The sequence below is a fragment of the Homo sapiens genome, chromosome 4 (assembly GCF_000001405.40).
Source record: "Homo sapiens chromosome 4, GRCh38.p14 Primary Assembly".
NCBI classification, from domain to species: domain Eukaryota; kingdom Metazoa; phylum Chordata; class Mammalia; order Primates; family Hominidae; genus Homo; species Homo sapiens.
This window is the reverse complement of record NC_000004.12, coordinates 151624026-151648648: the sequence shown is the minus strand read 5'-3', so window position 1 is coordinate 151648648 and position 24623 is coordinate 151624026. Positions and strand designations below refer to the sequence as shown.

At 37.8% G+C, this 24623-nt stretch overlaps 1 protein-coding gene across 10 annotated transcripts in view, besides 1 other annotated feature; it reads right to left on the bottom strand.

The window, feature by feature from the left end:
- Nucleotides 1-24623, bottom strand: part of FHIP1A (FHF complex subunit HOOK interacting protein 1A) — a 261328-nt gene that overhangs the window by 21855 nt on the left and 214850 nt on the right. For 9 of the 10 annotated variants that reach the window (XM_024454201.2, XM_047416127.1, XM_011532221.3 and 6 more), the window contains 3 exons: nucleotides 18780-18947; nucleotides 9893-9972; nucleotides 1901-2091 (listed from right to left, as the gene is read on the bottom strand). In XM_024454201.2, coding sequence (XP_024309969.1) covers nucleotides 1901-2091; nucleotides 9893-9972; nucleotides 18780-18947 — 439 coding nt within the window. Of the gene's footprint in view, nucleotides 1-1900; nucleotides 2092-8908; nucleotides 9040-9892; nucleotides 9973-18779; nucleotides 18948-24623 lie in introns of those variants that run through there. The other variant, XM_017008583.1, reaches the window with a different exon arrangement.
- Nucleotides 1949-2510: an enhancer, noted in NCBI's record as "NANOG hESC enhancer chr4:152567291-152567852 (GRCh37/hg19 assembly coordinates)". NCBI's record gives its function as "activates a minimal SCP1, AML or CMV promoter by ChIP-STARR-seq in primed H9 embryonic stem cells {active_cell/tissue: H9 hESC(primed)}" and the evidence as "EXISTENCE:reporter gene assay evidence [ECO:0000049][PMID:30033119]".

Here is a 24623-nt window from a genome sequence, read left to right as displayed (position 1 = left end):
TAAAGAAATTGAGGCTCAGAGATGAAAGAACACCCAACCCAAATTGTGGAAGAGCCACAGTTCAAGCACAGGCAATTTCACACCAACCTCCATTCTTACGTCAGTGCCACATCTTTGCAAGCCTCACGTCTCTTCATGCTCTAAATCTCTACCAGACTGGGTCAGAATCGAGCTTTTAAGGATACCCATTTCCAGGGCATTAGGGTAGACATAATTCATATTTTATAGCTCTACTGCTAAGCTAAAACGTTAGTGTTTATCTCTTATCTATGTTATGTAAAAAGACATCAAATACTACTACTGGCAGTATTTATTGCGCACTTACTACATGCGAGGCAGTCTTCTAAGAGCTTTACATGTCTTCACTTGCTTTCCTGAGAATAGCCCTTTGAAGTAGGTACTATTTTACAGATAAGAAAAAAAGTTTAGAAAACTTAAGTAATTTGCCCAAGAAAGTACTAGAACCAAGACATAGAACCAAGATGCAGAACCTAAGTCTTGGCTCTGCTACTTTCTTAGGCAAATTATTTACCCCGGACAGTAATTACTCTGGCTAGCTAGCTAGCTATGTCACCACCCATCCATTAGGGCATTTATCTGCTATAAGGCAACCTCAGAGGCAGGAGAGTGGAAAGAACATGGCATCTGAAACCAGAGAACCTACTTAGCTGTATAACCATGAACAAGACAATTCCTCTCTCTCAGTTTGTTTATTCATCTGTAAAATGGGAATACTACCTTCTTCAAAGCATTAAAAGTGATCACACCAGGAGAGAAGTTGGCAAGTTATGGAGAATCATAGGTTTAACTTGAATTTTGAATTCTGAGGCAAGGTTAGCCACAGAATCATTCTTGAAAAAACTTTCATAGTAAATTTAGAAAGACGCCAATTTTTAAATATGTTTTAAAAAATAACTTTTAGGTATGAAAATATAAGATATCCATACTAATTTGCCTAATAGGAAAATATAATTAAATTACATAAATTGCTGATTTCCATGCATCTTTATATAAAGACCAAGAATCCGTAAGACAACCTTAATTTCTACAAATTACGTTAATATCAAACATACTGACATTTTCTTAGTCAAGTAACCCAGCTTTTAAATACACTTTACCTAAGAAAATTATAGCTGGGTGGACAGAATGACATTGTTGGGGTGGATATCAGAATATAAACTGGAAACGCTTGACTCAACACCAGGACTGGGCATTTCCTAGTGGTCACAGGACACACAGAATGTTCCTGAATTGAAACAGCCATATGACCATCAAAGATATACAGATGCTCCCTTGCTCTAGCTGCCTGCCAGAGGGCCAAGGTTGACAGAGATGGCCATTTCAGTTTTGCTTGTATGAGGTGAACTGTAGCTGGCAAATAGCACCAAGTATCATAACCCCTGTAAAGTATTTATGGCAGCCTTCCTCATTAGGTCAATCAAATGCATGCAATTTTGCTGTCATATCACAAATTTCAAGTTTTATAGTGATATATAATAATATGTAAATCCTTATGACAGATTTCTATAAGTGGCTCATTTTAGAAATTAAAATTAGGGCTGATTCTGTCTCAGCAATAGCCATCTCCACACCTCTCACCCCCGTCTTGTTTCCGAAGACATGCTAGCACACGTTTTCACATTTTGACTCTGAGGATCCCACTAGAAAGTCTACGTAAAATAAAGATCTGGCAACAGAACGTAACATCTGGGCACGTCAATAAACACTGATTACAACGTGTCCATAACTCCTTACAAAGCAGAAAAGGATCCTAACTAGTCATTCATAAGAGAAATGGGACCCACCACATAATTCCCTGTCTACCCAAAGGGACACATATCCCAAGGCGAGATGGAACTGGCATCCTTTTGTTTAAAGATCATCACTAGCGAGTTCCTACCTGAAGTGTCATGCATACACTTTGACCAGAGAATATAATCCCTCTCTTGGTTCCCCAGCGTCAGAGTGATCCCGCTGGAGCAGCAGACAGGAGTCAAGGCGAGAAGCTTGGCCGCAGAAACAGAGTAACAGTCTCTCTCCTTCACAGCCCACCTCTGACTCAGCATCATGTGATTGCAGGGGATCAGATACCTAGAATGACAAAAAGAACAAGCGTTTGGTCTCTGCAATGTCTTGAACCATTACTGGGACTAACTAAACCATAACAGGGACTCCTTGTGGCCAGGGGCAGACTCATCCTCTCTCAGCTCTCAATTGATCATCTCACCAGCCACCAGGGTTCACTCCTTAGCTTAATTTCTTCTGAAAGAACAACCTCTTTGCAAAGCACTTAATGGTCTTTATAATTCAATCTCCAGGAACTTCTTCATCTCTTAAACGATCCCTCTTCAAACTCCATGCCTTTGTGCCCACTGTCACCTTTACCTGGCCTGTGCTTTCCCCTTTTCTCTGCCTGACCAATGCCTTTCATTCTACAAAGTCCAGCTTCAGTGTCACCTTCTCTGAGAGGGAGCTAATCCCTCCCTCCACTATGCTCATGGGCCTCTATTAAGCAATATTATCTTGTATCACAATTACTTCAGTCTACCTCCTGAATATAATGTGCTACCACAGCAAGGAGCTGCTTCAGTCATTTCTCTTATAATCCCAGAAACTCTGGCTCATTGCAGGCACTGAATGGCAGCAGCAAACAACCACTCCATAGTGTAAACCTTTTCTTATGTTCTTACGTGTGGCCAGGAGAAAATATAATGGTAAATGACTCACTGAGGATCACTGGGCCCCATTTCACATAAAACACTTTTGGTTGGTGATCAAAAGCATCTTAGTATCATTTTGAACCTGGGGACAAGAAAACCTGAGCAACCATTTCTGACACACCTGGAGCACATCAGTGGGCTTCATGGCTAGAATAAAGTGTGTTTAAATGACTTACTTTCTTAACAGGGAAAAAAAACATACTGCTTATTTAAACAAAAATGGAGCAAATGGGATAAAGAACTTATAGCCAGAGCCAAGCATCACATATGTGTGCAGGAGCCAATTGCAGATGAGCCTAATCCCTTATGTGAACGATCACAAACTTTCAATCAGCCAGAGTGTTTTTGCTTCTGTATTTGGCATTTGAGAAAGAAGCCGTGCAGAGAAAAACAAGCTAAGATTAAGGTTTTTGTAAAAAAAAGATAAAAAGTACGACTTTCAGGACATGCCTTCAGGCCTGTAAACATTCAACCATCTCCCATACCTCCTGCTGATCCAAATGAGGAAAACCTAAGTTGATATTCCCAACTGATCCACTGCAAGAGCCAGAGTCAGAGAGGAAAGAAAGATTCCATTCTCTGTGTGGTACTTGATGCTGAAGGTTTTAATAATACTTTCCAGGTATGATATAGCAAACTTGCCACTTAACCTTCAGTTTTCAGAAAAAGCAAACCATCTAGGTAAGGCGGTCCTCATCCCCTCCTCCTACTGTCTCCATGGGCAGATATATATTTTGAACCTGCTGTCAGTAAGAACCAGACACACCCTGCAGGTCTGATGTGGTGGCAGCTGTTTTCATAAGCGCAGTTTCATGAAAGTAGAAGGTTACAAGGACAAAAAGGAAAGTATGGAACAGGGGGCAAGACTGTTCTGATTCTTGGCTTAGTTTTGGGGACTTTAGCAATGAGGAAAAATGAATGCTGCAGGCAGAAAATAAAGGAGCTCTTTTCCACAAGGATATCTGTGAGTAGAGATGCTCTGGTAACCAGAAATAACACAGGAGAGAGAAGCATTCTCGCACCTCTGTGTGAACCCACCAGCTGTGAACAAAGCATAGCTGGACCCCAGTGGGCACCCAGAGAAGACAATGCTGCTCTAGCACCACAGGAGGGCGCCAGGGTGCACAGCAGGAACAGGGGCAGCAGGTTGAGGGGTGGGAAGGGAAGGCAGCAGCAACAAAAGGGATCAGAGCAGGAGAGAGGACCATGGCTGATGCTGCTGTGGCAACCGTGGTGGGAGATTTGTTCATGCATATATTTAAGACTCCTTATTTGGGGGTGGGGTACTGTGCCTCATGCCTGCAATCACAGCATTTTGGGAAGCTAAGGCGGGAGGACTGCTTGAGGCCGAGAGTTCAAAACGAGCCTGAGCAACACAGCAAGATCCTGTTTCTATAAAACATAGAAGAGTTAGCCGGGTGTAGTGGTGTGTACTTGTAGTCCCAGCTAGTCGGGAGGCTGAGGTAGGAGGATCACTTGAGCCCAGGACATAGAGGCTGCAGTGTGCTATGACTACACCACTGCACTCCAGCCTGGGGGACAGAGTGAGAGCCTGTCTCTAAAAAACAAAAACAGATAAACAAAAAAGATTTCTCACTTGGTGATCCCTAGAAGTGATAAGTGATACTTTTTGTGTTGGGTGGGGGGTTTGGGGGTTGGGCCCAAGGTTTTCTATGAGGTGGCTGGGGTGAGAGCTGGGAAAATCTGTCCTGTAGCCATTGATGTGAACTCTTCCTATAGGCTGGTGAGGCCTAGAGAAATTCGGATTACACAGGATTTATGGTATCCTTATTTTGGTCATTAATTATTTAAGAAATAAACTGCTTCAATGCTTTTATATACTGCTGGAACAGCAATGACTGCTTACAGCTCAAACTAAGCATATTTCATGATTTAAGTTGATATTCATAGATTTTTATTCTTTGTTTGAAGTATTAAAAATGGAACACTGGATCAAAGCTAATAAAGCTATTTATCAAATATCACCAGTGGGTAGCTTGAAACTATATTAGAATAAAGACTTATTGGGAATTTGCAACTTTACAAACACATGCTTTCAGTAGAAACTAAAAATTTTCTTCTGAATAAATCAAATCAAGGGAGATCCCCTATTGGTTGAAAGAGAGTCTACGAAACTGGAAATGGGGAGTCTATTCAAATGAATAGCCCGCCAGTATTCTGAATGGTGGTTCTCAGAGGTTATTATGTTAAGTGAAATAAGCCAGGCACAAAAAGACAAATATCACATGTTCTCACTCATACGCGGGAGCTACAAAAGTGAATCTCATGGAAGTAAAGAGTAGAATGGTGGTTACAGAGGCTGGGAAGGGAAGGGGGAAGAAGTTAGTTAAGGGGTACAAAAATACAGCTAGATAGAGTGCTAGTATTTAATAGTACAGTAGAGAAATTACAGTTGACAATAATTTATTGTATATTTCAAAATAGCTAGAAGAAAATAATTGTAATGTTTCCAACACAAAGAAATGATAAATGCTTGACATGATAGATATCCTAATGATCCCGATTTGATTATTACACAGTGCACGCATGCATCAAAATATCATGTGTACCCCAAAAATATGTGCAACTATTATACATCAATTTTCAAAAGAAAAGAAAAAAGCAGTGGTTCTGCTGTATCTTTAAAATGAAGGATCATCCCAGAAGAAAGAATAGAAAAACAGACTGTGCTCCTCTGTCTCTGTCTTTTCATCACTCACAGGAAAAGATTAGAAATAGAATGAATGCCAGAATATCCCCACATTTCAAATATGAAAATGAATTGGCTGTCAATAGTAGAAAAATCACTTATGAATTTAGTATAGGTATTTATCATCAAACTATCTTTTCATTTATACTATATGTATTTTGTTTGAGAATTTAAATTCATGAAACTATAAAAATAATCAGAGACTAATAAATATCTGACTTCAGAGGTCCAGATTTTGCAAAGCCATCCCCCAACACAGAAGGAAAAAAAGAAAAATATATATATAATATATAAATAAAATATGTATCATATATATTATACATATTGTCCAAAATATGATATATGATATATATATATCATACATATTGTCCTCCCTGATTTTCACTATTTCCCCAACCCTTTATAACCCTGGGCCTGTTTCTTATTTTCTTGGATATCGGTCATTAAATTAAACCATCATCACTTCTAAAATAATTCTGTGACAATCAATTGATAACAAAGCATACATATTGCCCTATGCTACACTGACCATAAACACAAGCAAAACAAGGCAGTGAAGTACGATGAGCTAAGTGAAGTGCTTCTTCTGGGATGATAACCCCAACAATGCACCAATAGACAAACATCTACAAAGCAATGTTAGTGAATTCAAAAAGATCATTTGTGATTCAAAGAAGTTCTGGCCATATTTCTCCTATTCATTTTCCCCTAGGCTGGCAGGCTTTACAGGGTTTTTGTTGTTGTTGTTGTTGTTGTTGTTGTTTTCCTTTCCTCCAAACCCCTAGCTCCTATGCAAGATGAAAATGTTCCTGAAGTATACACACAGCTTCTCTTCAGGCAAAACAACCTCTATCTGAACACAACAGGCAAGACAGTTCATAAACCTGACAATGGACCAGTACTTCTGAAAAAAACTCTCTAAAAAGAATATTCAGAAATAGTATTCAATGTATTAAGCAATTAAATTTTGTCTCAACTGGGAGGTTCCAGGCACATGGCAGAGATTTGTTACCTCACTGCTTGTCAGCATTTCCTGCCTGCCTTTGGCCTATCATATGTCATATCCGTGGAGGTGGACAATTTCTCCTTGGTTTTCTGCTCACTAAAATATCCTGTCTTTGGGGGTACCTTATTTCAACTTACTTTTCTGATATTTCACCAAATGAAAGAAACTAGTATCCGTTACAAATGGATCATCATTTTGAAATGTTGGTATTTATGAGTATTTGGGTTGTAATAAAAATTGACATACAGTCATTATTTATTTATCACATAACAAATACCTTCATTAAACGCAGTCACATAATCTTCACAGCTCTACTGCCTCTCAGATCTGCAAGTTTATCATGTATATTCAAATGACTGCAGTGGCAGCAACAAACAAAAAGGACAGATTATAAATCTATTTTTTATGTCCCTTAAAATAATGTTTAAATGACTTGAAGAATAAAGATTTTTTTATTGGCTTTGCTTTTTGCACAGATTCTAAATCTGAAAAGAATTATTTTCATTAGTTTAAAATGTCCTTTCTAGAAAATTCCCTCCCTTAAAATGTGTGTTATACTTTATAGCAGGGGTGTCTAATTTTTTGGCTTCCCTGGGCCACACTGGAAGAATAATTGTCTTGGGCCACACATAAAATACACTAGCACTAATGATAGCTAAAAGAAAAAAAAATTGCAAAAAAATCTCATAATGTTTTAAGAATGTTTACAAATTTGCATTGGGCCCCATTCAAAGCTGTCCTGGGCCACATGCGGCCCGCAGGCCACAGGTTACACAACCTTGCTTTACAGCATTTCAAAACATTTTCACAAACATCACCACAGTTGATCCTCCCAATAATCTTATGAGGTGGCATACTCCAAAACCAAAACATGCTGAGTCACATCAGCAGTGCAGAAGAAGGATACCAGGAGCCAGTGGTTTCTTGCATGCCTATTATGTGCCCAACTGACTTCTGTGTATGTCCTCTCAGTTTCTCTCCTGGTGGAATCCCTCAAGCAGCACAGCAGAATTAGAAACAGAGGAAGTATTCAATTAAGAGCAACTATATTATTATTATTATCACTATCATCCTCATTAAAGAAACATGGGCCCAGAGAGTCTAGGACCAGGCAGTCAAGCCCATCTCCTAACGTCAGGTCTGGCATTTTTTTTTTTCCATTATTCCATTCAGAACTTGTGATAACATAACATTCAGGCACTTTCCTGGTATATTTATCCTCACCCACCCTAGAAATGACTATCCCTGACTTGAACATTTATGTATTTCAACCATGAGCTGATCTCTTCATCTTTATAAGGGGCAAGTCTGGGTCTCCAGAGAAGCCATTACCGATGCCATCTCTGCGGACACTTTTGTAACACAACAAACACCACTATATGAGCAGTAAAAGGGTGATCAGCACTCACCTTCTAAAGGCCACTGAACAGCCAGCAAGCAAGAGCTTCCATCACCTAGACTAAATCTGACTTGGTGACCCAGAGCTGGGAGGCTCTGCACCTCCAGATCAAGGCCAGGCTTCCAAGTACACTGAAAAAGACAGCTGGTTTTCCTACCATCAAAGAAGCAGTATTTAAGAATTTAACATTTAAATACCATCAGGCTTTACCCACTTTGGAGTAAAAGCCTGGTTTTTTTGGCACTAAAAACGGCTTTGCCAAGTTGTTCTGGATTTCATTCAGGCCTTGCTAATGCATTCTGTCATATATCAGTAGAGGCTTGATGAGGAGCTAACATAATCCTTTTAGGAAAGATAACTAATGTTCTACCCAGACTACCCAGGGTGTTTCTTTAAGATTGGATTTGTTTTCTGCTAATCCTTAAGATTAGCTACTGATGACCTAATCTAAAACTGTAAAAAGTTCAAAAGCTCTTTTAAACTTGAAAAACTAATAGGTGATACTCTCCTGACAATTCTGTAAGGCCCTCCACAATAGGCCACTACCAGCTTTTTCACACTCATTTTGTAATCACTCTCTTTTGCAAGATGTTATGCCTGCACGGCATCACTCCTCAAAGTGGTTCTCAAACTTAGTAGTGCATCAGAATCCCCCGGAATTTGTTAAAACATGGCTTGCTGGGCCCTAACCCCAGAGTTTCTGATTCAGTAGGTCCGAGAGGAGACCAAGAATTTGCATTTCTAACTAGTTTCCAGCATCACACTTTGACACCCCTGGCTTTTCCAGAGCTACCTATTTGGAAATGCTAGTGCATCCACCTGGAATGTCTTCTTCTCAGTAACCTCTACTCAAATCATGTCAAAACCCCAATGTGGACTAGGGGAAGACCAGGTCTCCTCCCTCTTCCCCCACTCTCAGCTCCACCCACCCTTATTCCCCAGGACTGGTCAAATGAAGGGTCAGGAAGTCCACTAAGGAAGGAGGAGCAGGGAGCGCATGCTGGAGGACCCTGGTAGTCCCACTTTTTCGTTTTTGCTTCCACACCACCAGAAGAGCATGTAAGAGCACAAACCCTCGCAACTCGGAGCTCCTCTCAGCCCTAGCCCTTCGCTCCTCTCTCAGCTTTGGGGCCACATTCTCTCTGGGTCCGCTTCTTGCAGTGCTGGGGTAGGGTTTCACCAGAGTAGTCAACTCCAAGATTCAGGATCTGGGTTTACCAAAAAGAAGGAAAGATGTACACCATGGTCTAACCAGGAGTTTCTAGAGTTCTGTGCAGAGATTCGGGGCTAAATCATGAGCTAATAAGGAAGCATCATTGCTTTCCTTCACAAAAACAGATGCTTCTCACAGCGTTCCAGAGAAGAAGAGGGATTGCTGGGCCAAGGCAAGATTTGGTGTTCCTGAGTCCCCTATTAAACTGCCAAATGAATGTCTTCTTAATAGCTGTGCACTTTGACTCCTAATACTCGTCCTCAAATCCCAGCCACTTCATAAAACCTTTCCCACCTGTACTTCCGTCCAAAGGACAAACCTTTGCTACCTTTCAGTTCACAGCAAATACTCATCAAATTTTTACTGAATTTAACTGAAATATACTCACAGATCAGAGAGAATACACTGTGTGTATCATTATCAAAGCAAAAATCATAGAAATTATATATCAAAAGCACTTTATATTTGGAACACTTGCTTTTAATAGCAAAAGTCCCCTATAAATGCACTTCAGGAGAAAGACATTCAGCCACAGACCAGAATAGCTTTTATAATACTTCTGAACATTTTCAAGCATTCTATCTATAATTTCCAGGAGCATATTTACAATATAATGCATATGGCCCTCTAAAAACTTTTAATAGTACAAATAAAATTAACCTTGGGAAACAATGCAAAAAATAAATTAATGTTCGTGATAATTTTCTTCCTTAGATGCTTGGCGCCTTTTTAGCTTATACAACCAAAGTAATATAAAGTATATAAATAACAAAGTATATGAATATAAAGTAATATAAAGTATAAAGTGAATTTTTCTTTAAAGGAAACAAAAAAGGCAACTCACCTTAGAACTAGCTGTAACATCACATCTTCACAATGTAAACCAATGAGAGTTCTGAATAATGCCAGAGACACCACACAAAGCTGGGAAGCAAGAGACACACATTCTAGTTCAGATGTTGGAACGATAACTCTACTCCCCACAGATAGTAAATAAATCAGAATTACAAAATATAATGGCCTTTTTTTTTTTTTAGCAGTTTTGATAAAAAGCATGCTGCTGCCAGGGAGAATGTGTATTCAGGATATCAATTCTCCTATAGGATTTGATTAGAAAGCCAGTGTCTGGAATTATGCCACTGTGCAGAATTATCTTCCTACAAAAATGTCTGGGCTCATATTTCCAACTTTTAAAGATCCAGACAGATAAACATTCTACCTACAATTCTCCAATTCTCTCTCTCTCTCTCACATACACACACACACACACACACACACACACACAATCTCCTATTTAGGTAATTTGTTTTCCTGAGTTATTTTCAAATATGCCATTAGTTATTTACAAGACAGGGCTTGCAGAAAATTGCATATAACCTAGCCAAGTCTCCCTTCAGAGTTCTTAGCCTCAAGCTCAGCTCCTCTCTTGGCTTTGGGGCATTTTCCTTGGTTCCATTTCCCATTGTGCTGAGGGTGAGATAATGTTCTTTTCTAAAAAGTTCTTTAAAACACAAGAATTCTATCAATCACTGATTTCCAAAAAGAGAAGGTAAACTGCCAAACAGGGGAGATACCCAAAGGTGTATTGTAAAATCTTTGTACCCTTTTGAGAGTAAGCTTTTAACAATCATACTGGCCCATTTAAGTAATTTTAAGCTCTCATTCTTTGTACAGGAGAATAAATGCTAGTCTGTCTTCTAGGCAGGTTGGGCTTAAAATCTGGCCAATGAAATCTACAACAATGCTGTAAAGAAAGAGCTGTACTTAGCCTAACTCAAAACATCTCTTATCCTCAGGGCAGGTCATATACTTGTCGTTAGCTAGAAGCAACATACTCTGTTCCCATTCCAAGTCTTTGCACACGTGGTTCCATTAAATGCAATGCCTTTTCCTGACTCCCCCATGGGCTAACTCCTATCTATTCTCAAAGTCTTAGCTTAGGCATCGCCTCCCTTAAGAAACCTTTCTGTTCTGTCTCACAATATTACCATCCAACACTTCCTTTCCCCAGCTCAGTTAGGTTTCCTTCTTATCCATTGCCACAGTAACCCCTGCAAATCACTGTTAATTTATCAGATTGCATAGTAACCCCTACCGCTCACTGTTAAGGGTGAGCAGCAGGGTGTATTTATCTTTTTATTATTGAGTTGTAGGAGTTGTTTATTCTGTGTACAAGTATCTTATCAGATATATGATTTGCAAAACTTTCCTACCATTCTGTGAATTGTCTTTTCAAGTTCCTGCTGTTGTCCCTTGAAGGCAAAAGTTTTTAATTTTGATAATTTCCAATTTATCAATTTTTTCATTTGTTGTTGTTCATGCTTTTGGTGTCATATCTAAGAAAACACTGTCAAGGCTACAAGGATTTACTCCTATGATTTCTTCTAAGAGTTTTATAGTTTTAGCTCTTACATTTAGGTCTTTGGTCCATTTTGAGTTAATTTTTGTATATGGCATGAGGTGTGGATTCAGCCTTATTATTTTGCACATGGATATCCAATTGTCTCAGCACCATTTGTTAAAAAGACTATTCTTTCTCCCACTGAGTGGTCTTGAAATCTTGTTGAAAATTAATTGACCATGGATATATGAGTTTATTTCTGGATTTTCAATTCTGTTCCACTGGTCTGTATGTCTATCCTGCACCACACTGCTTTGATTACTGTAGCTTTGTAGAAAGTTTTGAAACCAGGTACGGTGAGTCCTCCAACTTGTTTCTTCAAGTTTGTTTTGACTATTCTGGGTCCACTGCATTTCCATATGAATTTTAGAGTCAGCTTATCTATTTCAACAAATAGGCCAGATAGGAGTTTTATAGAAAAGCATTGAAACTGTAGATCGATTTGTGGAGTATTCCTATATTAACAATATTAAGTCTTCTGGTCTATGAACATTGGGTGTTTTCCCTTTTATTTAGGTCTTCTTTAATTTAAACAATGTTTTATAGTTTTTGCAGCACAAGTTTTGCACTTCTTTTGTAAAAATTTATTCATATTTTATTCTTTTGATGTTATTGTAAATTGATTTTTGTACATTAATCTTGTATCTGCAACCTTACTAGACTCATTCATTCTAACAATTTTAGTGCATTCCTTAGTTTTTTACATACAAGAGCATGTCATCTACAAATACTGATTATTTTACTTTTAATATAAATGCATTTATTTCATTTTCTTATTGAATTGCCCTGGCTAGAACTAAGTACCATCTTGAATAGAATTGAGGAGAGAAGATATCTTACCTTCTTCCTTATCTTAGTGAAAAACATTCTTCACTATTAAGTATAATGTTAGCTCTGACTTTTTCATAGATGCCCTTTATCAGATTGCTAGGAAGTTCCCCTCTATTTCTAATTTGTTGAGTATGCTGTTGATAATCATGATGTTTTCCTTTATCTTGATATGATGTATTACATTAATTGATTTTCAGACTTTAAACCAGCTTTACAATCCTAGTTTGATATATCCCACTTGATCATAGTGTATAATCCTTTCTATTTATTCTAGATTTCATTTGCTAGTGTTTTATTGAGAACTGGGGAGCCCATATTCATAGTAGATGTTAGTGTAGAGTTTTCCCGTGGTGTCTTTGTTTAGTTTTGGAATCAGAATAACACTGGCTTCATAGAATGAGTTGAGATGTATTTCCTCCTCTTCTAATTTTTGAAAGAGTCTGTGAAGAATCTGTATTAATTATTCATTTTTTAAATTGATAAAGAACACATAAATAAAATTTAACGTCTTAATGATTTTTAAGCATACAAATCACTAGTGGTAACTATATTCACATTGTTATGCAACAGATCTCTAAAACATTTACATTTTGCAAAACTGAAACTCAGTAACCACCGAACAACTCCCCATTTTCCCTACCACCTAGCTCCTGGAAACCATCATTTTACCCTCTGTTTCTTTAAGTTTGACTATTTTAGATCCCTTACATGAGTGGAATCCTACAGTTTGTCTTTTTGTGACTGGCTTACTTCACTTCGCATAATACCCTCAAAGATCATCCGTGTTGTAGCATATGACAAGATTTCCTTCTTTTTTTTAAGGTTGAATAACATTCCATTCCATTGTATATATATAACATACTCTCTTATCCATTCATCCATCAATGGACAATCTAGGTTGCTTCAACCTCTTGGCTATTGTGAATGATGCTGCAATGAACATGGGTGTACAAATATCTGTTCAAGATCGTGCTTTAAATTCTTTTAGATATATACCCAGAAGTGGGATTGCTGGATAATGTACTAAACCTATGTTTAATTTCTTGGGAAACCTCCATGCTGTTTTCCATAATAGCTGCACCACTTTACATTCCCATAAACAAGACACAAAGGTTCCAGTATTTCCACATTCTCACCAACACTAATTTTTTCTGTTTTTTGGATAGTGGCCACCCTAATGAATATGAGATAATATCTCATTGTGGTTTTGATTTGTACTTCTCTAATCTTTTCATATATTTTTTGGTCCTTTGTAAGTCTTCTTCATAGAAATATTCAAGTACTTTGTTTATTTTTAAGTTAGATTATTTGGGTTTTTGGTTGGTGGTGAGTTACAGAACTTTTTATATATTCTGGATACTACCCCCTATCAGATATATGACTCATAAATATTTTCTCCCATTCTGTAGGTTGCCCTTTCATCTTGTTGATTATTTCATTTGATACGCCTAAGTTGTTAAGTTTGATGTACTCCCATCTGTCTTATTTTTCCCTACGCTTCTGGTGTCATATCCAAGAAATTATTACAAAATCCATTGCTATGAAGTTTTCCTCCATGTTTTCTTCTAGGAGTTTTGTAGTTTCAGATCTCATGTTTAGGTCTTTGATACATTTTGAGTTAATTTTTTTATACGGTGTAAAGTAAGGGTTCAACTTCATTCTTTTGCATGTGGATATCCAGTTTTACCATTACCATTTGTTGATGAAACCGTCCTTTCCTATTGTGTAGTCTTGGCACCCTTGTCAAAGATCATTTGACCATAATACAACGGTTCATTTCTGTTTCATTCTGTTTCTTATTCTGTTTCATTGGTCTTTATGCTAGTCCCACACTGTTTTTTATTACTATAGCTTTGTAATATGTTTTAAGGAAATGTGAGCTCTCCAACTTTTTCCTTCTTTTTCAATATTATTTCAGCTATTCAGAGTCCCTTGAGATTTCATATAAATTTTGGGATTTTTTTTCTATTTCTGCCCAAAAAATGCCATTGGGATTTTGTTACAAATTGCATGGAATCTGTAGATTGCTTTTGAGTAATATGGCCATTTTAATGAAAATAAGTTTTTCAATCCATGAACACGGAATGTCTTTCTATTTGTTCTTCTTTCATTTCTTTCAATGTTTTGTAGTTTTCAGTGCACAAGTCTTTCACCTCCTCAGTTAAGTTTATTCCTAAGTATTTTATTCTTTTTGATGCTATTATAAAGAACTTTTTAAAATTTCCTTTTCGAATTGTTCATAGTTAATATATAGAAATTACTTATGTGCGTTGACTTTGTATCCTGTAACTTTACTGAACTCGCTTGTTAGTTCTAACAGTTTTTTGGTGACATCTTTAGGGTTTTCTATATATATGATTATGTTGTCTACAAACAGACACAATTTAACTTCTTTCTATCCAATTTAAATGCTTTCTATTTCTTTCTCTTGCCTAATTGCTCTGGCTAGGACCTCTAAGTGGGCATCCTTGCCTTGTTCCTGATTTCAGAGAAAAAGCTTTTAGTCTTTCACCATTGAGTAAGATGTTAGCTGCGGGCTTTTCATATAAGGCCTTTAATATGTTGTAGTTGTTTCTTTATATTTCTAGTTTGTTGAGTGCTTTTATCATGAAAGGGTGTGGAATTTGTCAAGCGCCTTTTCTGTATCAATTGAGATGACGCTGTGGGTTTTGTCCTTCATTCTGTTAATGTGGTATATTACACTGACTGACTTTCATATGGTGAAGTATCATTGCATTCTAGGAATAAGTCACACTTGGTCATGTTATACAATCCTTACCATGTGCTGTTTAATGCTTTTTGCTAGTATTTTGTTAAAGATTTTTGCATCAACAGTCATCAGGGATACTGGCCTCTAGTTTTCTTGAAGTATCTTTGTCTAGTTTTGGTATTAGGGCAACACTGGCCTCATAAAATTAGTTTGAAAATGTTCCTGGATCTTCAGGTTTTTAGGAGTTCAAGGAGGACTGATGTTAATTCTTCTTTACATGTTTGGTAGACCACTAGAGTGAAGCCATCTGGTCCTGGGTTTTTCTTTAAGATTTTTCAATTATCATTACAGTTTTGATCTCCTTACTTGAGGCAAGTCTGTTCAGATTTTTTTTTATTTCTTCATGATTCAGCCTTGATAGGCTATATGTTTCTAAGAATGTATCTAGGTCCTCTAGGTCATCCAGTTTGTTGGTGTATAATTGTTTGTGGTATGCTCTTTTTTATTTCTGTGGCATAAGGTGTAATGTCGCCTCTCTCATTTCTGATTTTAGTTATTTGAGTCATCTCTCTTTTTTCTTAGTTAATCCAGCTAATGGTCAATCAATATTATTGCTGTTGTTTTAAAAAACCAAGTCTTGGTTTCATTGGTTTTTCTATTCTTTATTTCATTGATTTTTGCTCTGATCTTTATCATTTCCTTCCTTCTGCTAACTTTGAGTTTAGTTCATTCTTCTTTGTCTAGTTCCTGAAGATGTATAGTTAGGTTGTTGCTTCAAGATTTTCTTTTTTAACCTAAGTGTTTACAGCTATAAAATTCCCTCTTAGTACTGCTTTCACTGCACCTCATAAGTTTGGGTATATTGTGCTTTCATTTTCACTTGTCTCCAGATATTTTCTAAATTCCCTTGTGATTTCTTCTTTGGCCCAAGAATGTGTTGTTTAATTTGTATGTATTCATAATTTTTTCCACTTTTCCTTCTGCTATTTATTTCTAGTTTCATTCCATTGCAGTTAGAAAAAAATTATTTGTGTGCTTTCAATTTTTGTAAATGTGTTAAACTTTGTTTTGTGACCTAACAAGTGGTCTATCCTGGAGAATGTTCCATGTGCCCTTGAGGAGAACCGTATATCCTGCCATTGCTGGGTGGAGTATTTGGTATATGTCTGTCAGGTCCAATTGGTTTACAGTGTTGTTCAAATCCTGTTTCCTTCTTTATCTTCTGTCTGATATTTTTATCCACTATTTAAGTAGGGCATTGAAGTCTCCTACTATTATTGTGCAGCTGTCTATTTCCCTCTGTAATTCTGTCAATGTTTGTTTCATATATTTGGGGACTCTGATGTTACATGCATATATATATATACACATATATATAATTTTTACATGCATGTATTATATATAATATTTATATCTTACTAGTGAATTGACCCTTTTATCATTAATGTCATTCCTTATCTCGTGTCCTTTTTTGTCTCTTTATCTTAAAGTCTAATTTTTAAATATAAGTACAACCACCTCTGCTTTCTTTTAGTTACCATTTGCATAGGATATATTTTTCCATCTTTTGACTTTCAGCTTATGCATGTTCTTAGATCGAAAGTGAGTGTCTTTTAGACAGTATATGCTTGGATCTTCTTTTTAATCTATTTAGCCAGTTTATATCTTTTGACTGGAGTGTTTAATCCATCCACATTTAAAATAATTACTGAGGTGGAAGGACTTACTATTTCCATTTTGTTGTTTTCTGTGTGTCTTACAGCTACTTTATTCCTCTTTTCCCAATAAGCAGACAGAACATAAGAAGTAATGTGAAGCAAGCAATTCACTCTTTTCTTTCCCTCACAAAGTAAAAGTCAGTAGTTGGAGTTTTCTCTGGATCTTGCCACACTGTGTTGGGGAGGGGACATGGCTAGAGCAGGTAATAATGCCACCAATTTTCCTGCACACTTCAATATGTCTCTTCTTGGCTTTGTGCTACAACCTCTTAACTGGTGTTCTTACAAAGTTTCTGAAGTTCTTACAAAAGCAGTTTGGTCATAAATTTTTGTTAAGTGGGTTTCTCTGTGAGGGAATAAGGGCCTGGGTCTTCCTATTCCACCATTTTGCTGACATCACTTTTTAACTAGTGCCTAAATGTTTGATAGAATTCACCAGTGAGGCCATCTGGGTCTGGGCTTTTCTTTGTGAGTAGTTCTTTTAATTTCTATTTTAATCTTATTTTGATATAAATTTATTTAGATCTTCCATTTCATAAGTTTGTGTCTTTCTAGAATTTGTCTATTTCATCTAAGTCATCCTTTGGCATATAGTTGCTCATGGTCCTAATTGTTTTTATTTCTGTAAGGTTGATAGTAATATCCTCCTCTTTCATTTCTCATTTTAGTAATTTGAGACTTCCCTCTTTTTTTCTCAGCCTAGCTAAAGGTTTGTGAATCTTGTCAAAGAACCAACTTTTTATTTCACCTATTTTCTCCATTTTTTTAATTTTCTATTTCATTAATTTCTGCTCTAATCTTTATTGTTTTCTTTCTGCCTGCTTTGTTTGCTCTTCTTTTTCCAGTGTGTTAAAGTAGAAGCTTAGGTTACTGCTTTGAGCTCTTTCTTCTTTTTTTAACATATGTGTTCACAACTATATATTTCCCTTTAAACAATGCTTTCACTGTGTCTCATAAGTCTGGATATATTTTGTCTTCATTCTCATTTATCTCAAAGTAAATTCTCATTTTCCTTGTGATTTCTTCTTTGACCCACTGATTAGAAGTGTGTCAATTTCCATATACTTGTGAATTTCCCAAATTTCTTTCTGTCAATAATTTTTTAATTTCCATCCATCATGATCAGAGAACATGCTTTGCATGATTTCAATCCTCTTAAATTCACTGAGGCTTGTTATATGGCCTAGCACATGGTCTGTCTTGGAGAATATTCCATGTACATTTGAGGAGAATGTGTATTATGTTGCTGATAAGTGTAGTGCTAATTGAATATTTTCTCTAGTATAACATTTTAATTCCTTTAAAAGATTTTTCCACTTTTTTTAGTTATTTTCTTAGTGGTTGCTCTAGGGCTTCCAGTATACATTTTAACTTATCAGAATTTACTTCAAGTTTATATTAAATTAGCTCTAGTGAAATATAGAAATATTACTCCTATATAAGTCTATTCCCTCTTCCCCCCTTTGTGCAATTATTGTTATATATTATCTCTATATATGTTGCAAACCGAATGATATATACATTCTCATTCTTTTGCTTTTAAAACAAGAATTGCAATTAACTAGAGATAGCCTTTGGGGAGGAGTATTTTTCAAGTTAATCAGAGCTTCAAAATGAAGAATGACCACCCAAATTCACAACTTTCCAAACTTCCATTTCAAGAAAACTCATGGACAGGAATATGATCTCTAACACCCAGACTTGATGCACTCTGGTTCCTTGGCTTTATCTGTGCTTAAGCCCACATGTTCCCTTGCATCTTGCCCCCACAGAAGTGCACTCTGCTAGTTCTACAGAAGAAAGTGCTAAAACAGAGAAATAGCGAAAGATGTCCTAGGAAAGGCAGTAAGTGTCACCTCTTGACAGAAGGATCCCTGAGAACAAAACGCATTATTCCATTCATCTCTACCCAAATAGAAAGAAGGTAATGGCCACAAAACAACAACAACCAAAAAAGAAAAAGAAAAAAAAAGGAGAGCAAAAGAGAATATTCATAATTTCATTCCCAAAAAAAAACTCTCCTGAAATCTGTTCTGAGTTGTAAGTTCCCTTCCTCTGGCGCTCTCCTTACCCGAAACGGGGTGTTGATTCGACTCGTGAGAGTGTCTAGGATGTGGACATTCTCGTGCTGGTGCAATAGGATAAAACGGAGGAAGATCTCAAGTAGTGCTGGCTCGGAGATGCTACGCAGGAAAAGGTCCAGATATGCAGTTGTGGTCATGACCTCTTCCACAGTCACCTAGGACAAACAACGGAGTGAGCACAGGTGAGCATCCTTTTGATGCTGTGATACACGCCTCTCCCGTGGCCCCCAGCCTCACCACAGTGACATCATCAAGGCAAGAACATGCCTGCCCACGAAAACACACTTCAGAGCTTTATTGAAGCCCATAACCTATTCACATTCCACAATACCTCATGCTGTTTCCGCCCTTTAATTCAATAAGGAAAAAGAAAGGCATAAAGAATCAATTCAAGTGTTCTGGTAACTCTAATCATCAAATGCAGTTCAAATACCATAAAGATTTTAGAGTGTAATCAAAAATGAAGAAAAAAGATAATGGAAAGTATTTACATGGTTAGTAAAGGATTAATTAGAAAGCCCGGAATAACTTGTTTCTTTATTAGTCATTCAGTAAACATTTATTGGGACCTGTTATGTACGAGGAGCTGAAAACATAACATTCCTTATGTCCAGAAAGATGAGCTATGACAAGCAAAATGATAATATAAATTGCAAAGGAGCAGTACAGACACAAAGTGCTACAGATGTTCCGATGTGTTTCTGGAGAGCTGCATGTCAAATTTTTTATAACTGAATAATACACATAAAATGTTATTTACAAAGTACTATAAGAACTTACTGCTTATAAAGTAACTGCGACTTTTTTATAACAAATTAATATATGCTACCTGGTGTAATTTTCTCATGCAGTAAAATGTCAATTTTTCAGTGAATAAGACTCTGAAGAGCCAAGTTTTTCAAGAAGCCGAGGATTTGATGCTTCAAGTATCAAAATTCTAACCTTAAACATTTTTATTGGGAGTATTTTAAGAGCTAGCATATACATCTTTGTCCTCCTAAGATGAGAATATACCATCTCTTGATGAATAGAGGTCATTCCCAGGGTCATCAATTGCCCCGCAGAAGCATAAAGAAACAGCCACACCTGAATGCGTGAAAACCACCAGAGAAATAGTTCAAACTCTCAGATTCTAATACCACACACCCTAGAAATCTTAGCAATCCCTCCACCATGAGTCAAATGCACTCGATTTTAAACAAAACAGATGGCAATACTTTTTGAGTGATTATTTTCCCTTTTCCATTTTTTAAAATCTTCTTTCATTCTCTTCCTTTAAAAGTGTTAGTTGTCACATTATCTTACGGTTACTGGGCCATTCCTTTTATATTCCATTCCTCTTCCCCTTTTAATTTTCGGCTTTTAAAATCCACAGATTAGTTTAGAAACCAGATGTCCAGATCTGCTACATAAGTGTAGATGAGCCCTGAGTGGATGCATCTGTGCATAAAGGCTTGGAGCTATCTATTTTGGCAGTTTAAATTACTTTTAAAAAGTTATTGGTGCTCAGCTTTCTTCTGGATAGATGAGCCCAGGTGGATAAGATATTACCAAGTCAGTGTGTCTGTTTTCTTTATCTAAGCAAGGCATGCTTATCCAGTGCATTAGTATCTAACGAGAAGTCATTCCACAGTGGTCTGAGTACATATCATAGCGCAAATCCCCTTCCCCTAGCTCGGTGCCAACAATGCAAGTTCTCAGTCATTCAATACACCACTATGTCATCTGACCAACTGTAAAGAGCTCTCTGTGGCCCATATACAGCAACAGAAATAGGCAACCATCAAACATTTAACAAATAAATTGCACTGGGAAGAGTGCTTTTCATGGTCTGCCCCTGCTTCTGAAACAAACTACTTCCGTCTTTGTGTTTCCTGATGTTTTCTAGTCCCATATATGAAGCACTCCTAATGCTGCCCTGGGATGCACACTGTGTCTTTTCTTTATTACCTCAATGCAATGCACAAAGCCTGGCACATAAAATGTACTTCTTCCTGAGTGAATGATAGCCCCAAAGATCTAGTGATTTATATTTGCCAGAATTTAGTTTAACTTTTAATTATCCTTTATCCTCTACATGTGTCCTGAAGGTCCCAGAAAGTAGAGACGTTTTTTATAAAGATCTCTGTAATAACTGATGTCACCAATCATAGCTAAGGGGGAAATGACTCACAACAACCCTACATTAGCTCACATCCACTTCACTACTGCAAACTTGGGATCCTTTAGCAGAAACTTAATCCTAAATGATTTAGGCAAAAATCTAATTCCCCAACAACCTTGATCACTAGAAAAAAGTTGCATAATCATTCCAAACAGGCCATGTATGTAGTTTCTGTAACACAATATTTTCAGCTTATCTATGGAACACTGCTGAACTGACATGTTATACAGAATTCCAGCCTTTGCACCAATAATGTAGCATCAGCTTTTCCCCCCTTAAGTTACACATGACCTTAGTAAGCTTGAAAGCACAGCAATCAACTCCTTAGACTACAAGTCTCAGTCTTTGAGGGCTAACATGAAAGGAGGGCATTAAGTATCTATTGTTTACTACTGTTAGGCTGGATAAATGAAAATATTTCATTTCTTTTTAGAAATCAAAGCTGTCATTTATAAGCTAAGAGGATTTAAGAAAGCACTTGGAGGGACAGCATTTATATAACATGCTATAAATATTAAAAACCCAAGTCCATTAAGCATTAAGTTGCCTATTTTTATAAACAGATCATACTCACCTTAAACGAATAACCAAACCAGGAAAATCTGGCTCCCTTCTTCCATCTTTTCCTTCTACCATATCCTCAGAGCCTTCAGGAGCTTTTTATACCAGAAAATCTTTTCCTGTCCCATTATCTTACTTTCAGAAACTTCCTCTAATCCCCCCAAATATGCAACCTCCTTAACGAGGATGAGACCAGAGCCTAAGTGTGATCACTGGAAAGCTAACAATAAACCACCAGGGAAAAGATGCTCTGCTGTGCAGAATGTAAAACGAAATCTTCTGCTAATGCCCCAAAGAAGTGTTAGCAAGACTGGAAAGTAGCATCTTCTTCATGCACCCATTATGGAGGACAATCAGCTGCTAATATAAGTAAGACCTCTGTCTTAGAGATGACTATCAATATTTATTTAATTTGTTTTATAAAGAATTGCAGGTAGCTACGAATTTACATAGAAATACTAATAGAAACAGTAAATGACATTCTACCTTACTGCCATATCATACGCAATAATAAAGTTTAGGGATACTAAAGCTTAAGAATGTTATTTCATACTAAAGGTGGGCCACAATGACTGAAATAACCTAAAGAAAACTCAGTGTCCACAAATGAGTAATTATCCCTAAGATAAGAACAGTTGTTACTCTAAAGAATGTCTCTGCTTAAGCACTATTATGTGTCAGTTCCAGAATAGAGGCCTGACTCAGGTACTTGACTTTACTGCTACTGAGTCCCGTTTAGTCCATCCTTGGAAATAAATCTTTCTCTGCCCATCTTCTCCACACTCCTATAGCCCTTGTCCGGGTCCTTCTTCATGCCGAGAATCTTCACCAATCCCTTAAGCTGGTGTTTTTGAAACTATAGTTTGAAATCCAAAAGTGGGTAGTGAATTCAGTTTATTATTTCATTAATGGTTTAGACCAGATTCCAATAGAAAATATTAGAGTGCCCTGCATGTAGTAAGGGCAAGTCCTGTTTTGTCAAACTTGTGTATACATATTTTGTTGAAAATATACATAATGTGATACATTAAATATATGTGCTTTGCTTGCAAATTCAGTAAATATACATATATATGCAAACATACAAAATATTATTTCTGACTGTGAGCAGTAGCCAAAAACATCTGAAAAACACCACAGGAGCACAGTTCACAATCATCTACGCCATGCTTTCACCCACCAGTTCTCATCGCCAGTTCCCTATGCTCCAGGCTATAACCCGTCAAGGTCTGGCCTGGAAGAAGTGCACACATAGGTGAGATCAGTTTTCTGAACAGGATGGCAACTGAATTTACAGTCAATCTACTCTTTTTTGTCTTAGGCTAAGAGCTCCAAAAGTGTGTTTTTATTTTTTATTAGAATTTCAAGCTTCCCAGAAATAGGCAAAATGGACAGTGTGTTTTCTTTTAAAAAGGAGGTGGGTGGGAAGGGAGGAGGTGACACCATGCATCACATTCTACTTCTATAAAACCAAAGCTCTCTAAAAAAAATTAAAGCCAGAACCAAACCCAGCCATCATGCCCACAACTGCAGAAGCACATTAACTTATTGCACGGCGTATGAGTGAAATTGAGCATATAGACATTCTGACCTTTCTGTAATCAGCTCTAGTCAGGCGATCCCATTTGCATCTAAATTAGTACCAGAATCCTCCCTGTAATGGCAGGTTTATGTGTGTCCTGAAAAATACATTTCCAAGCTGCTAATTGTTTTTTTGTGATCTAGTCACATTGGAACAAACAGATGGATCCTACCTTCTGTCACTCAGGCAGGTGGCAGGCAGTGGGGTCAGGCAGGCAGGTGGCACCCTCTCCAAATTAGAAGCCACCCTTCCTTGGCTTTTCCTTTGATAACAGAGGAAAAAACTAGCTAACTGCTGGTTCACCTGGGTTATCAGTGAGTCATCAGCCCCAGTGGGTCCAACCAGAGTGAAGCTCCCACTGAAATCAGCAGAGGGGAAAAGAATGACAAGGCTGGATCACACGAAACAGGAGTGAAAGGGTCTTAACAGGGAACACAGGCTACGAGCCTACCCGCTGCTGCCAGAGAGAGCCAAGCCAACGGACAGGTGGGAGGCACATCCACCCACCTGCAGCCAAGGGCAGCAGCTGGAAAGGCTCCTTGCAGCCATCTTCTCCCCTCCAAGGACAAGAAGCGCCAAGAAGAACATTTAAGTACAAAAGGGAAGACAGACGCCCTGGTTCTCAGCAAGCAGCTCTACTGTTTCAGCCAAAAATTCAGGACAGAAAATGTTCAATGACTCCAGATCTGAAAATAGTCTGCAGTTGATGATTCCGGCTCCCTCCCGTCGGCTCCCCTATGCCTCCCTTCTGCTCCCCGACCTCTAGGCCACACGCTACACTGCTAGCACCGCCAGAGGCCAGCTGGGGAGGTGAATGGAGGTGACAGCCAAAGTCAGCAAGTTTGCTGATTTATTCCTAAAATATTTGAGGAAGGAGGAAACAGACTGGCTACAATGAGGATTTCAGTAACGTATTTTGAGGAAAGTGTATTAAAATAAAAGCCAATCTCTGCCCTTTTTCTCCCAGCATTTCTTCAATGGATCTGTAATACATTAAATATATTAGTATAATAAATTTATGCCTTCTGGGAGAAAAGGGAAGCAGTGAACAAATGGCTTTTCAGGGTCCTTCCAGGCCCTGAATAGTGAAACACCGCTCATCTCCCCAATGGAATTTGGAGCTGGGGTCTGTCTGCCTGGGGAAAAACCAGGTACAAGAGGCACACGTGGGAGGCAGTGCCACTCACACCACAGGCAGTGGTGGTGCTCCCAAGGCCATGTGGCTTCCTCACTGAGCGCTGCTTCCCTGGAGCTGCTCTCAATGCATTTAACTGGCCCAAATTTGAGGTACCTGAATAAACACTGACTACCCGTCCCCGAAGTACAAACTTTAGTATCTGGGATTTGGTTGATTGTTTTTCTGCATTTCCCATTTTGTTCTCAGTGTTCAGATTACCTTGTCATGAATATTGTCAAATGCTATGGATGCTGCTCCTTTGGGGTTCCTAACTTTTCCTATACCTCCTCGCAATGGGAACATATCAGGAATGGCCCTATTCAACAAACATTTATGCAGGTGTGAAA